At 50.5% G+C, this 15,270-nt stretch overlaps 1 protein-coding gene across 17 annotated transcripts in view, besides 2 other annotated features; it reads left to right on the forward strand.

The window, feature by feature from the left end:
- Positions 3,457-3,786: a silencer, noted in NCBI's record as "silent region_12926". NCBI's record gives its function as "represses an Ori minimal core promoter by ATAC-STARR-seq in GM12878 lymphoblastoid cells {active_cell/tissue: GM12878}" and the evidence as "EXISTENCE:reporter gene assay evidence [ECO:0000049][PMID:35858748]".
- Positions 3,576-15,270, forward strand: part of L3MBTL1 (L3MBTL histone methyl-lysine binding protein 1) — a 43,258-nt gene continuing 31,563 nt past the window's right edge. For 12 of the 17 annotated variants that reach the window (NR_165191.1, NR_165196.1, NR_165195.1 and 9 more), the window contains exons 1-4: positions 10,320-10,655; positions 10,888-11,038; positions 11,171-11,294; positions 11,972-12,056. Coding sequence is in view for 9 of the 17 variants with exons in the window: in NM_001377307.1 (NP_001364236.1) it covers positions 10,424-10,655; positions 10,888-11,038; positions 11,171-11,294; positions 11,972-12,056 (592 nt within the window). In the remaining 8 variants the exon portion in view is untranslated. Of the gene's footprint in view, positions 3,624-9,354; positions 9,519-9,716; positions 9,941-10,319; positions 10,656-10,887; positions 11,039-11,170; positions 11,295-11,971; positions 12,057-14,485; positions 14,583-15,270 lie in introns of those variants that run through there. The other 5 variants (NM_001377306.1, NM_001377303.1, NR_165189.1 and 2 more) reach the window with 4 other exon arrangements.
- Positions 10,653-10,742: a silencer, noted in NCBI's record as "silent region_12927". NCBI's record gives its function as "represses an Ori minimal core promoter by ATAC-STARR-seq in GM12878 lymphoblastoid cells {active_cell/tissue: GM12878}" and the evidence as "EXISTENCE:reporter gene assay evidence [ECO:0000049][PMID:35858748]".

Genomic DNA, 15,270 nt, shown 5'->3' on the forward strand with positions numbered 1-15,270 from the left:
ACAACACAGGGAGACCCTGTCTCTATTTTATGTAACTACATTTAAAAGATAAAAATAAAAAAAGTTTTTAAAACGTTCCATACTAGCTCAGTCTGACGTTGGAACCAGAAGTGTTTTTATACATAAAGGGCACATCCTGATGATTTCCCTAAAAATCTGCAGACAGTCTCAATGGTGAATGAAACTCTATTGTAGGAACAGAATGGTGTGGGCTGCTTAGAAACAACAGTTTTCTTTTGTTTGTTTGTTTTACATACAGGGTCTTGTTCTATTGCCCAGGTTGGAGTGCAGTGGTATGATCACAGCTCACTGCAGCCTTGACTTCCTGGGCTCAAGCAATCCTCCCATCTCAGCCTCCCAAGTAGCCAGGACTATAGGCATGTGCCATCACACCCAACTAATTTTTAATTTTTTTGTAGAGACTGGAGGGGGTCTGTCATTGATACAGGAGTGGGGCAGGGAAGTGCTGGGTAGAGAAAGGCAGGGTCCCTGGTGAGGGCCCCACCCATGGACCCAGGTGAAGACAGGCACTCCTGTTTTTGTGCCCAAATGTTGCATTTTCCAAGACCACTCTGGCCCGCACACCCCCCATCTTGTGCCTATATAAACCCCAATACCCTAGTGGGCACACATACAAATGGCTGGATATGGAGAGGAACACATCAGAAGAACACACGGACGCTGACAGGCCATCAACTGCAGAAGGATGCGGATGCCTAGGGAAATTCAGCTGAGGGTGGTTGAAGGAGAGCCAGGCAACTCCAGGGGAAGACCACCTTCCCACTCCATTCCCCTTCTGTTTCCCCATACATCTGCTGAGAGCAACCTCCACCATTCAATAAAACCTTGCACTCATTCTCCAAGCCCATGTGTAATCTGATTTTTCCAGTACACTAGGGCAAGAACCCAGGATACAGAAAACTCTCTGTCCTTTCAATAAGGCAGAGGGTCTAATTGAGCTGATTAAAACGAGCTGTCTACGGACGGCTAAACTGAAGAGCACACAGTAACACACGTCTACTGAGGCTTCGGGAGCTGTAAATACTCAACCCTAGATGCTGCTGTGGGGTTGGAGCCCACGCTCCCCACTACCTGCCCGTCTGTATGCTCCCCCTAGGGTTTGAGTTGCAGGGCACTGAGGAAGCAAGCCACTCCCCCGCTGTCACACACCCTGCTAGGGGGATAAGGGAACTTTTCTTGTTTCATTACTATGTTGACCAGGCTGGTCTTGAACTCCTGGCGTCAAGCAATCCTCCCACGTTGGCATAAGTGCTGGGATTACAGGTGTGAGCCACTATGCCTGGCGTAAACAACAGTCTTCTCAGTGCTTTGACTCATCAATATTTCAAAATATTTTGGGTCCATGCTTGAGCAGGGGGTTAACATGGAGAAGACAATGGGGGCTGTGAACTTGTGAAGAGGGGGCTATCACTTGAGGGGAGGACTGGACTTGCTTACTTGCTCCTGAAGGCAGACTGGTACTGGAAGGGGAAACTCTGGCTTCATGAGGCAGAAACTTCTCCAAATCATATTAACGTGGTAGCAGCTCTTCACCCCAGGATTTGGTGATCTTGATACCTGGTTTGTTTGTTTGACCCCTGTTCAAGCCAACAAGCCAGGTATCAAGACCACAAAAATACAGTTTTTTTCTTGGGTGAGGAGAGAGATTTTTTGTTTGTTTAGACAGGATTTCTCTCTGTTGCCCAGGCTGGAGTGCAGTGGCTCACTCATGGCCCACTTCAGCCTTGAGCTCCTGGACTCAAGCGACCCTCTCACCTCAGCCTCCCTAGTAGCTAGGGAGGACTACAGTTATGCGCCACCACACCCAGCTAATTTTTTTTTTTTTTTTTTTGTAGAGACAGGATTTTGCCATGTTGCCCAGGCTGGTCTCAAACTCCTGGGCTCAAGCAATCCTCCCACCTCAGCCTCCCAAAGTGCCGGGATTACAGGCGTGAGGCACAAAAATACTGTCGATAGCCAGAAAAATAATGTCTTAGCAACTCACATCCATGTTAGTTGTTTGTTTCTAGGTCTTGCTAGCTCAAATTCCACTTATCCGTCTTAATCACCATCTAAAAGATGCCTTTGTTTTTGAGAATCCATGTGTTTGTGTAGGTTCACCACTTTCTTTTAATCTTCTGAATACCTAAAATAAACCTTTGAAATCTAGATCACGCACAGTCTAGGTTGAGATGAGAGAATACTGAGCGGATGGTTGTGTATGTATCAATGTGTAGAAAAAGGCATCCATCGTTATGGCAACCAGCATCCTTAACTGATGCAATCCTGTTCCCAATAATATGAGATGTGATTAAAAATTGACATTGCAGCAAGGAAGAACACATGCAATGCGTTGGCGTGGCAACCGGAATAGTTAAATTCTGCATAAATTTAAACCTGTCGATCACAGCAATTTGGAGAATTTGCCTACATTTCATTAGGAACCCTTTTCTCATCTGGCCTGGGAGGGAATCAGGAGCCTGGTGGTCTGACATGTGGCCATGACTTAAGGCCAAGTAAAATCAAGGGATTAAATTAAATCATTGGTGTGGGAGAGGGGCTGGATGGTGGACTGTACCAAAAGTTACCCTGTTTTCATCTGCATACCCTACATCATTTAGTCACTCAACAGATATTTATTAAGCACCCACTCTGTGCCCCGCTCTGGGCTAGGTACTAGGAATACAAAAACTAATATTTCCTACCCTCTTGGAGCTTGAAACCTCTTAGCCTCTGGAATTACTCAAATCTATGTGAAGTGCCAGCTGTGGTATGTGTAAGCGAGACAGGTATCTTGTGTTACCAGAACCAATAACAAGGAGATTTGATTAATTAGAGAGATCAGGTGGAGGCGAAGAGATCAGTCAAAGTGAAGCAGAGAGGGGCAGTGATTGCTACACCACCACAGGAACCCAAACTGAAAACGACCATACGCCATGAAGTGGGTGATAGTCTTTACCAATGTCGAAATGGAGGACCTGGGGGATACTGATGTTACCCAGCCCTTCGCAGTGGGGTCACCCAAAAGTAGACGCGGCTAATGCCGCTCTTTATGCCCGGCAGGGCCAGGACCAGAGTCCCCGCACGAGGGTTCCTCTCTCCGGTCGCACGTGCCCTTCACCCTTCCTGAGGCCGTTTTCTGACGCTCCTGAGCTCCCCTCCAGGGTGAGGGCAGGCGCGGTGGGAAGGCGTTGGACAGAGCAGACACTCGGCTGGGGTGCATGCCTGGGTGCAGCCTCGTCTTTTGTCACTAACCACTCAGCTCGGTAGCCCTCCAGGCTCTCTCTTCGAGCTCCGCGGTCCCTGCGCCCCCGCTGCGCTCTGCTAGCTGTGATGCAGGGGTTCGGGGGCAGGAAAAATCTCGACCCGCCACGCCCGTGCGGCAAACCTGTCCTAGGTTGAGGGGGCATGAGGCGCGCACAACCAGGGCCTCGAAGGCAGGCAAGAGGGCGCGGGCGCCACAGAAGCCTGGGCCTGCGCCTGGGCCGGGCAGATGTGCCCGGCGCTCGGGCCCCGCGCTCTGCGTCCTGCAGGGAGGCGGACCCGCCCCCCGAACGCGCAGGCGCGCGGCGCCCGGCTCGGACCGTAGCTAGGCGCTGGGCGGCCACCGGCTGGCCAGGCAGGTAAGCAACCAGCGGTGCGTGGGCTCAGACCTTGCGTCCCCTGGGCGCCGCGCCACCCCGCTCCGTCCAGGGCGGCGAGGGCTCAGGTCTGCGGCCCCGGCGTCTCGCTCCTTCCGAGCGCCTCCGGCGGGGGGCGCGGGCTGGGGAGGAGGTTCGGGAAAACGCCGGGGAAAGCGGTCTGGGCGGAGCGCGCAGGGGGCCAGGCGGGTGCGGGACTCCAGGCCCAGCCGACCCTGCGGCGTGGCTTCGGGCTGCGATCAGGAGGGGCGAGGAGGGTGGAGGCTGCGTGTTTGGAGATACGCAATCAATTAAGAGTTTTTTTATTAATGGAAAGGTGTGGAGGGCGGGGTTTTGGTTTTCTTGGGAAATGAATGAGTCATTTGGCAAACTTTCCTACCATTAATTTTGGATTTTTATAATGGAATATGGAATTTTTTTTGTTTCTCTCTCTTTTTTTTTTTTTGGCCATAAAGAGAAAGAATAAAAAGAATTCCGCCATTTTAGCGTTTTAAAAAGTAACCGTTCTGCGGAACTGTCGGATCAGTGACCGCCCCGCCCGCCTTTGCCTATACCAGTCCCGGGAGGCTGGTGGCGGGTCCCGATCCTGGAACCCTGCGCTCAGGGCCGCTTCCGTCCCCTCCCGAGTCCGGGAAGCAGCTGCGGCGAGGGGCGGGGCCGAGGCCCCAAGTTTGTAGCGCTCAGCCTTGCTGTGTGTTGTTTTCTGGGTAGCTGTCGAGGGCTCTACTCCCCACCCAACACCTATAGTAAGGACATTTATTGGTCGTTTTTGTATACAAGGCCTTGGAAGGCAAGGGATTGAGAAAACCTTGTCAGACATCAAGAGAAAATACCCATGGACACATTCAGCCAACAGATATTTATTGAGCATCTGCTATGTGCACGGCTCTGGGCTGGGGCTACAATGGTTGTTTTAGGTCGGGTCCCCCGAAACAGACTCCGATAGCAAGATTTGAGTGTAGGTTTATCGGAGTGCTCTTGCGAATATCACCAGTAGGGGAATGACGGGTTGGGCGGAAGAAGAAGCTGAACTGCTGATGTAGTCTCAACAGAGGCCTCAGCCTGACCTAATGGAAGCTCTGGAACTGAGATGGCCCTGCAGAGGTGTTCCAAAGTAAGGCAAGGGGGTGGGGTCTTTACACCTCATAGCAACTCGTCATTGGCTGGCGGCTTCTAGGAGAGCCTTCAAGTGAGGTAGCTCCCTAGGCTCAGAGCAGTTCCAAGAGAGGCTGACGGCAGAAGGCTGAAAACTTTCTTCAGTGTCCACCAGAAACCCAGACTCTTCTGAGTCCCCCCTCACTTCATGGCAGACTCCTTCTCAGTCCCTTTTGCTAGACCCTTTTCCTCTTCCCAACCTATAAATGTGGGTGTGCTCCAAAGTTCCCACTTTTTTCTTTATACTCAGTTATGTGGTTTTTTCTTTTTTCTTTCTTTCTCTCTCTCTCCTTCCTTCCTTCCTCCCCTCCCCTCCCCTTTCTCTCTGACAGGGTCTTGCTCTGTCGCCCAGGCTCGAGTGTAGTGGTGTGATCATAGCTCACTGCAGCCTTTACCTCCCAGGCTCAAGCAACCCTCCCACCTCAGCCTCCCCAGTAGCTGGGACCACAGGGGTGCACCACCATGTTCAGCTAATTTTTAAAATCTTTTGTTGAGGCTGAGGCCTCACTATGTTGGCCATGCTGGTCTCAAACTCCTGGGCTCAAGTGATCCTCCCACCTTGGCCTCCCAAAGTGCTAGGATTACAGGCATGAGCCACCAGGCCTCGCCCCAGTTCTGTGGTTTTAAATGCCATCTACACATGCTGGTCTTCAAATTTATACCTCCAGCCCCAACCTCATCCATTATCTCCAGAATATAAGCTTCATGAGAGCATTTTGTCATGTTTGTGACTGTAACCCCAGAGCACAGAATGGTGGTGACACCTACTTGGTCCTCCCATGCTTGCTGGAAAAGAGGCAGCGAACCCAAACAGAAACGTAGTCTTCAAATCCAGCTTCTTCAATAGACCTGAGATGTGACAGGTTTTGACACAGAGTGAAATTCTTTCAGAAGTAACCACATTCACTCTTAACTGCCAGTGTTTCAAATAAAAAGATTAACTCTATTTATTTATTTATTTATTGAGACAGGGTCTCATTTTGTCACTCAGGCTGGAGTGCAGTGGCGCGATCTTGGCTCACTGCAACCTCCACCTCCTGGGTTCAAGGGATTCTCCTGCCTCAGCCTCCTGAGTAGCTGGGATAACAGGCGTGTGCCACCATGCCCAGCTAAATTTTTGTACTTTTGGTAGAGATGGAGTTTCAACATGTTGTCCAGGCTGGTTTTGAACTCCTGGCCTCAAGTGATTGGCCTCCCAAAGTGTTGGGATTACAGGTGTGAGCCACCACGCATGGCCTGCCTGGCTAACTTTTGTACTTTTTGTAGAGATGGGGTTTCACCATGTTGCCCAGGCTGGTCTCCAACTCCTGAGCTCAAAGCGATCCACCCACCTTGGCCTCCCAAAGTGCTGGGATTATAGGCGTGAGCCACCACGTCCAGCCTAACTCTAAAGGTATTTAAAATAGTACAAGTACTTCAGCTGTGCAAAGCAAATTGGAATTGAAATTCAGGGAATTATGTTTTATAATTTTCTTTCTTTCTTTCTTTCTTTTTTTTTTTTTTTTGAGGTGGAGTCTTATTCTGTTGCCCAGGCTGGAGTGCAGTGGCATGATCTTGGCTTACCGCAACCTCCACCTCCTGGGTTCAAGCAATTCTCCTGCCTCAGCCTCCCAAATAGCTGGGATTACAGGCGCCTGCCACCACACCTGGCTATTTTTTTTTTATTTTTTTGTGTTTTTAGTAGCAATGGGGTTTCACCATGTTGGTCAGACTGGTCTTGAACTCCTGACCTCAGGTGATCTACCCACCTCGGCTTCCCAAAGTGCTGGGATTAGAGGCGTGAGCCACTGCGCCCAGCTAATTTTTTTTTTTTCTTTAGAGACAGGGTCTCGCTCTGTCACCTAGACCGGAGTACAGTGGTGAGATCATGGCTCACTGCAGCCTTGACCTCCCGGGCTCAAGCAATCCTCCTGCCTCAGCCTCTGGAGTAGTTGGGACTACAGGCATATACTGCAACACCTGGCTTATTTTTATTTTTTAATTTTTTATAGAGACAGAGTCTCCCTGTGTTGCCTAGGCTGGTCTTGAACTCTTGGGCTCAAGCAGTCCTCCCACCTCAGCCTCCAGAGTACTGGGATTACAGGTGTGAGCCACTGCATTGGGCCCATACAGTGTTTTTTTGTTTTGGTTTTGGTTTTTGGTTTTTGAGATGGAGTCTTGCTCTGTCTCCCAGGCTGGAGTACAGTGGGACGATCTCGGCTCACTGCAACCTCTACCCTCCACCTCCCGGGTTCAAGCGATTCTCCTGCCTCAGCCTCCCCAGTAGCTGGGATTACAGGCACATGGCACCAAGCCGGCCCCATACACTGTTTTTTATTAACAAGTTCAAGTTACTGAAATCCAACACAAGGACTTATTAAGCACCTACTATGTGCCAGGTACTAAGTGTTGGGGATACAGCAATGAATAAGACAGACGGTCAGCATTTATGTGGAGATGACTGATCAAACACAGAAATAAATAATTGAAGATCACTATTGATTATAATGAAGGATGAGAAAGAAAGAAATATATAATAGTAATGAGACAGATAGTGGTGGGATGGGGTGAGGGGTGTGCTGCTGCTTTAAATTCCTTGGTCAGGCCGGACTCGATGGCTCACGCCTATAAACCCAGCACTTTGGGAGGCCGAGGTGGGCGGATCACCTGAGGTCAGGAGTTCCAGTCCAGCCTGGCAACATGGTGAAACCCCGTCTCTACTAAAAATACAAAAAATAGCCAGGCTATGTGGTATGTGCCTGTAATCCCACCTAGTCAGGAGGCTGAGGTAGGAGAATTGCTTGAACCTGGGAGGCAGAGGTTGCAGTCAGCCGAGATGGCACCACTGCACTCTAGCCTGGGCAACAGAGCGAGACTCCATCTCAAAAAAAAAAAAAAAAAAAATTGGTAAAGAAAGACCTCTTCTGAGGAGGTGACTATTGAGTTAAGGCCTGGAGGATGGGAAGGAGCCAGTCAAGCAGAGAGCTTGGGGAAGAGCATTCCAGAGGGAGGGAACAGCAAGGGCAAAGGCTGTGAGTGGGAATGTTGGTCAAGCAATAGAAGGAAACCAGAGTCTGTTGAGTGGAGAGAACAGGGGAAGAGTGGTGGAGGATGAGGCCAGAGGGAAAAGCAGAGGTCAGATTTTCTAGGGCAAAGTGCTTTGATTTTACTGTAAGGGCAATAGAGAGCCACTGAAGAATTTAGATAGGGAAATTATGTGATTTGGTTTATGTTTTTAAAGCTTTTTCGACTGGAGAGTAGACTGTAGGGGTGCAGGAAAGGAAGCAGGGAGATGGGTTAGAAGGCAATTTCAGAAGTCCAAAGAGAGCTGATGTTGGCTGGGACTAGCATGGCAGCAATGGAGATGGAGAGAAGTGGTTAGACCTTCAGTGTGTTTTGGAGGTAGCACTGACAGGCCAATTTTAATACGTCTAAAGCTGTGCTGTCCAATACAATAGTCATAGCTACTGTCGCTATTTATTTACTTATTTCTTGTCAGAGACAGGGTCTCGCTATGTTGCCCAGGCTAGCCTCAAACTCCTGGGCTCAAGCCATCCTCCCGTGTCAGTCTCCAGAGAACTTGGGACTACAGGCATGCACCACTGTACCTACCTTCTGGTCACTATTTAAATTTAATTAAAATTAAATAAAATAAAAAATTCAGTTCCTCAGTCATAGTAGCCCATTTCAAGTGCTCAATAGCCACATGTGGCTAGTGGCTACGGTGTTGGACAGTTTAAGTATTGGACATTCTCATTATCACAGAAAATTCTACTGGACAGTGCTGGTAAGGCAAGTAGGACAGTGGTCAGTACATTTTAGGTGCTGAGTAAATAGATATTAAGTATATTCTTTGTATCTCTAGGTCTTTTTCTTTATGTCTTTACCTGTTGAATGAACTCTGTGAAATGCTTCTACTGCCTTTGCGTTATTAAAACAAAATCACGTACTGACTTGACTGCGTCTTCGTACACTATGTCTCTGCTCTTCAGATGCATACATTTGTTCAGCAGATGCTTGAGTGCCCACCCTGTGCTTGGGGTTGGAGGGAGTGGTGGACAGGGCCATAAAAGAACATGATCAGGAAAGATCCCACCTCCCAGGAAGATGAACCCTGTATGGGTGAAGGAAAACCTGGTACTTGAGGTCTCTGAATCCCCAGAGGGAGGAGGGAGTGATTCCAGTGGGGATAGAGGTGGGGTCAAGAAAAAGGTGAGTTTGGATGTGGCCTGGGCTATGTCCTGGAGACAACTGGCCACACAGAACCTTGACCTGAGTCATGCTCCCCAGAGTCAGTTTTGTACATCACAGTTTACAAAGTACCCTCACACATGCCACCCTACCCATCCTTACCATCCTTACAGAGACTGGGGAGGTGCAGGGCCTGGCCAGAACAGGAGCCAGACCTGATGCTGGTCTCTGAAGACACCCTACTCCCCACAGGACTGAGGCCTTTCTCTGCAGGTCACGGGTTTGAAGGTGGCTAGCTTCTCAAAGAAGCCCCATCCCTTCACATCTCCATTGCTGCTGTAACAAAGGTCCCCACCTGATCACCCTGGGGGCTATGTTTGGCTTGTAGGCCTGCCAGGATGGAGGGGCATGCTGGGATGGAGGGGCATGCTGAAATGGAGATGCTGAGGACACTGAAGGGGCCTTCCACAGGGGAGGTCAGCATGCACTTGGTGGCCGGAGACAGCCCCGGTTCTGGTCCTCACCTGCCCGCAACTGCCTTCATCATTCCAGGTGAGTCAAGCTAGGGTAGGAGTCTGGGAAGGAAGAGCATCTCTGTACCTGCTCAAGCAAGTGTGGATCCTGGAGAGGGGATGACCGTTTTCACTGTCCTCCACCTGCCTTCCTTCACATGCCTACACATGCATGGCCGGATTGAGGTAGGGCCACTAGACTCACCTGTGTCGTGTCTATTTGTATATCTGTTTACAGCCAGTTCGGCCACCCTCGGCCTGCCCAGCAGTGCCCTGGATGTGTCTTGCTTTCCCCGGGAGCCAATCCATGTGGGTGCCCCGGAGCAAGTGGCCGGCTGCGAACCAGTTTCTGCCACCGTCCTGCCGCAGCTTAGCGCCGGGCCGGCCAGCTCCAGCACCAGCACAGTGCGGCTTCTGGAATGGACAGAGGCCGCGGCCCCGCCCCCAGGGGGCGGCCTGCGGGTCAGTGTCTGTGGGGATTGGCTAAGCCTCGTAAACCGCAGCCATGGGGCGGGGCTTGCAGGCCCGGAGGCTGGACCTGAGACGGAAGTGGGGGAAGCTGGCTCAGATGATGGGCCCTAGGGGTGGGCTTTGAGTGAGGGACTCTCGGGGCGTGGCTTGAGTTGAAGCACTCCTAGGCCCTGGGGACTATGGGGGCGTGGCTTGGAGTGAGGCACTCTGGGACTGGGCCTGTGGGTGTCTGGGGGCGTGGCTTAGACTGGGGCACCCTGAGTGGGCCTGTGTTAGTTTGGGGGCGTGGCTTAGAGTGGGGTACCGTGGGACTGGGCCTGTGGGAGCCTGGGGGCGTGGCTTAGAGTGGGGCACCCTGGGACTGGACCCCGCAGGTGCTTGGGGGCGTAGCCTGGAGTGAGGGTTTGGCTGGTGTAGCTTGGAGTGAGGCCCCCTGGCGTGGAGTCTTGAGGCCTGCTGAGGGCGTGAGCTGGCATGAGGCGAAGAGAGGGCCATGGCACCGACTCCGAGATGGGTCAAGGACCCGTACGGGAGTCGCAATCCTCAGACCCTCCCGCGCTCCAGTTCCGGATAAGCGAGTATAAGCCGCTGAACATGGCGGGAGTGGAGCAGCCCCCGAGCCCCGAGCTGCGGCAGGAAGGCGTGACCGAATACGAAGATGGCGGGGCCCCGGCGGGAGATGGCGAGGCGGGCCCCCAACAGGCGGGTAGGAGCCCCGCTCCCCAGGCCCTGAGCTGGGCCCTGTGCGGGTGGGGCGAGGCCTGAGCCCCAGAAGGTTCGGGGGCGGGGCCCGGGGTGGTCCTGGGGTGGAGAAGGCTGGAGGAGGCCATCCGATGCGGAGATGGACCGAGGCGGAGGCAGGGCCTGAGGGGGCGTGGGCGGAGCCTGAGTGTGGCTGCGATGGGGAGGGAGGCCTGAGGCCCATTTGGCCCCCGCAGAGGACCACCCCCAGAATCCTCCAGAAGATCCCAATCAGGACCCCCCAGAGGATGATAGCACCTGTCAGTGCCAGGCGTGCGGGCCTCACCAAGCCGCGGGTCCAGATCTTGGTTCCTCTAATGATGGCTGCCCTCAGCTGTTCCAGGAGCGGTAAGGGGAGGAGGTCGCAGCCCTACTTGCTCTACCTTCAGCCCCCAAAGCCTCATTCCTGTTCAGGGGTTAGGAGAGGGGCTGGGTGGTGCAGGGCGGGTGGTTCTTTCCCTAAGGCTGGCCCTTCCTCAGGTCAGTCATAGTGGAGAACTCCTCAGGCTCTACCAGCGCTTCTGAGCTCCTCAAACCCATGAAGAAGAGGAAGCGCAGGGAATACCAGAGCCCATCAGAGGAGGAGTCGGAGCCAGAGGCCATGGTAGGAAGAGGGCAGTGGGGAAGGGAGGGGGAAGCTATAGCCTATGCCTCAATTCCCACTGTCCCCTCCATCAATCCAGATTATGGAGCTGGGCCAGAGAAGACACGCATAATGACTCACTCATCATATTTTGGGGTCCCATCCTGAGTTAGGTCCTATACCTGGTTAAAGGGAAATGAATTAATCACTCTCTTGATTTTCCAGAGCTCCCATCTCAGTTTAGTGTCAAGGTTAAGACATAGTCAGGTGAACTAGCACCCAAAGTACATGTGCAGGCAGCTGGAAAACTCCATCACTGGAGTCCAGTGCCTAGGCCAAAGGCCAGGGAACACCCAGGGCTCTAGCTGCAGAAGCTGGAAGGGACAGAGCATGAATTCTACTGGGCGTGTAAGAGCATCACAAAGGAAGTTTTTGTGTACTCAGTTTCTCTACCAGATAATAAGGAGAGTTGTAGTCAGGCTGTTTAATTAGGATGTGCATGCTCATGTGAGTCTGTGCTCAAGTGATAGGGGGATGTCTGCTGGAGCTGCACTCCTGCTGGCGGCCTAGAAGAAATTCTGCCTGTTTGGGGCAGAACACCACATGGCCAGAGAGCCAGGTAGGGGCCAGGATCAGACCCTAGGGCTTCATCCCAAACCATGAGGAGAAGAAGCTGGGATCAGGCTTGCCTTCTACAGGAGAAGCAAGAAGAAGGAAAGGACCCAGAGGGACAACCCACTGCTAGCACCCCAGAGAGTGAGGAGTGGAGCAGCAGCCAGCCTGGTACGGTGGCTTGTGTGTATATATATTCGTGTGAGGTGTGTATATACCTTTGGAGGTGTGAGGCTGAGAATGTGGGTTATGATTGTGATGGTAGGTTGTACATGCATAAATGAGCATGAGTTAGTGTGTGTGAAAGAGAGAGAGACAGTGAGAGACTATTTTGGGTTTGTGTATTAGTGTATGTATTTTCTTGGGAGTTATATGATGTGTTTGTTTATCCTCTATTATCCAGTCATGACTAGGCCCCAGTGCCAGGGAGATCTTGGCTCAATTTTTGAAGACTTGAGTAACTTTTACTGGCACCACATGTCATTGCTTCTCTTTAGTGGTGGGGCAAGCCTGCACTGGTCATTGGTCTAACATTCCTGTTTGGAACCCTATTCTCACTCTTTGATTCTAAGAAAAATGGAGCAGAGGTCATTCATATCTCCAACCTTCAGGCCTTCTCAATTACCATCTCCACATTCCCACATGACAACTGTCAACTGTAGCTAAGTAGCATACTTGTAATCACATAGATACTGTGTAGCAGTTTGTTTAATGTCTCTCTTCTGCCCTCAAAACCATCAACACAAGGACAGTATCTGTTTTTTTTTTTCTTTTTTAAAATTTTTTAAATTAAAAGTTTTGGAGGGTGACCGGGTCTTGCTCTGTTGCCCAGGCTGGAGTAAAGTGGTGCAAACACAGCTCACTGAAGCCTTGACCTCCTAGGCTCAAGCAGTCTTCCACTTCAACCTCCTGAGTAGCTGGGACCACAGGTGCATGCCACCATGCATGGCTAATTTTTTAAATTTTTGTTATAGAGATGGGGATCTTACTTTGTTGCTCAGGCTGGTCTCGAACTCCTGGGCTCAAGCAGTCCTCCTGCCTAGGCTTCCCAAAGTTCTGGGATTACAGGTGTGAGGTACCACGCCTGGTCGTCTTTTTTTTTTTTTCTTTGAGACGGAGTTTCACTCTGTTGCCCAGGCTAGAGTGCAGTAGCGCCATCTTGGCTCATTGCAACCTCCACCTCTTGGGTTCCAGCAATTCTTCTGCCTCAGTCTCCTGAGTAGCTGGGACTACAGGCACATGCCACCACATGTGGCTAATTTTTGTGTTAATAGAGACAGGGTTTCACCATGTTGGCCAGGCTGGTCTCGAACTCTTACCTCAGGTTATCTGCCCACCTCAGCCTCCCAAGTGGTGGGATTACAGGAGTGAGCCAAGGCACCCAGCCTTTTTTTTAATTTTAATTTTTAATTTAAGAAATGGAGTTTCACTCTATTGCCCAAGCTGGCGTGTAGAGCTGTTCACAGACACACTACAGCCTGGGACTCCTGGGCTCAAGGGATCCTCCTGCCCCAGCCTCCTGAGTAGCAGTGATTATAGGCATGTGCCATTGCACTTGGTTCTTGTATCTGTTTTATTAATCATTTTATCCCTGGTGCTTAGCTAGAGCCTGGTATGGAATAAGTTCTCAATCAGTGTTTGTTCAGTGGATGAATGGATTGAATGGATGATTTTTATGTTGATGGTTTCTCTTGGACTATGGCTTAGTTGCCTCAGTCACTGTCTTTCCCGTCCCACAGAGAACCAGACAGATGAGGTCATTTCTTAGGACATTATCCTGCCTTGATGGATCCAGTGCCAGCTGGAGGAGCCCAATCTGCACCCAGGGCTCTGAACTTTTTATAGTGCTTCTTCCAACTTCTGCCCATTGTAGCTAAACCAGAACTTCACTATTATGTCTCACCCATGGTATTCATATCAGAAGGCAAAGGTTTAGCTCTCTTTGGTTTATGGCCTCTTAAGACTTATGCAGAGGAAAGAAGCAGTGTCTTAACTCCTGTGGGCTCAACTACTGTATCTTACTTAGATAAATAGATTCATAAATCAACATTCTTTTAGCTGGGTCCTGTTGACCAGTACAAATCTTTTGAAGCATACTACTCACTGTCTCAACTGTGAATATTAGTGTGACATTTTCCCCCAACGCCTTTTTTTTTTTTTCGTTTTCCAAGGAAAGAAACTGTATCAGTAGACAGAAGTTTGCATCTATGACTGAAATGTTTTCTCATTTTCAGAGTCTTCTGACAGAAGAATCTGGGGGGTGGGAATGGGGGTTGGGATTGCTTGAGTTTCTTGTATGTGGGAAGAATCTATGTTTGAGCTATACTCTGTTTGGCAGTTTGATGGCCAGCTGTTCAATTCACGTCCCACAGACCTGACATACCTAGTGCTGACGGAGTGCTCCAGTAGTTTAAGAGTTAAAAACATGTGACTCATGTGCCCATTCAGGCCTTCTGTCTCATAGATCTTCTCCTTTTCGATAACCATATTTTGTGAATGATGATTTTCTAACACACCATTGCAAGTTTCTACAACTTACTTAGTCGTTAATAGATATTCTGACTGTGTTCACAGTTATAGTAGTCCCCTTTTATCTGCAGGGAATACATTCCAAGAACCCCAGTGGACGCTTGAAACCATGGATAGTACTGAACCCTATGGATACTGTTTTTTTTCCTATCCATACCTACGATAAAGGTATGATAAATAATACACTTTAAGGCCGGGCACGGTGGCTCATGCCTGTAATCCTAGCACTTTGGGAGGCCGAGGCAGGCGGATCATGAGGTAGGAGTTTGAGACCACCCTGGCCAACATGGTGAAACCCCATCTCTACTAAAAATACAAAAAAAAAAAAAAAAAAAAAAAAAAAAGCCAGGCATGGTGGCTCGCACCTGTAATCTCAGCTACTCGGGAGGCTGAGGCAGGAGGATAGCTTGAACCTGGGAGGAGGAGGTTGCAGTGAGCCGAGATTGCGCCACTGCACTCCAACCTAGGCAACAGACCAAGACTCTGTCTCAGGGGGAAAAAAAAGAAAAAAAAGAATACACTTTAAGGCTAGGCATGGTCCCTGTAATCCCAGCACTTTGGGAGGCTGAGGTGGATGGATCACTTGAGCTCAGGAATTCGAGACCAGCCCAGGCAACATGGTGAAACCCTGTCTCTGCAAAAAATACAAATATTAGCTGGGCATGGTGTTGAGCATCTGTGGTCCCAGCTACTCGGGAGGCTGAGGCTGGAGAATCGCTTGAACCCAGGAGGCAGAGGTTGCAGTGAGCTGAGAGTGCACCACTGCACTCCACCCTGTGTGACAGAAGGAAACCCTGACTCAAAAAAAAAAAAAAAAAAGGCTGGGTGCAGTGGCTCACTCCTGTAATCCCAGCAC

Source organism: Homo sapiens, chromosome 20 (genome assembly GCF_000001405.40).
Source record: "Homo sapiens chromosome 20, GRCh38.p14 Primary Assembly".
NCBI lineage: Eukaryota > Metazoa > Chordata > Mammalia > Primates > Hominidae > Homo > Homo sapiens.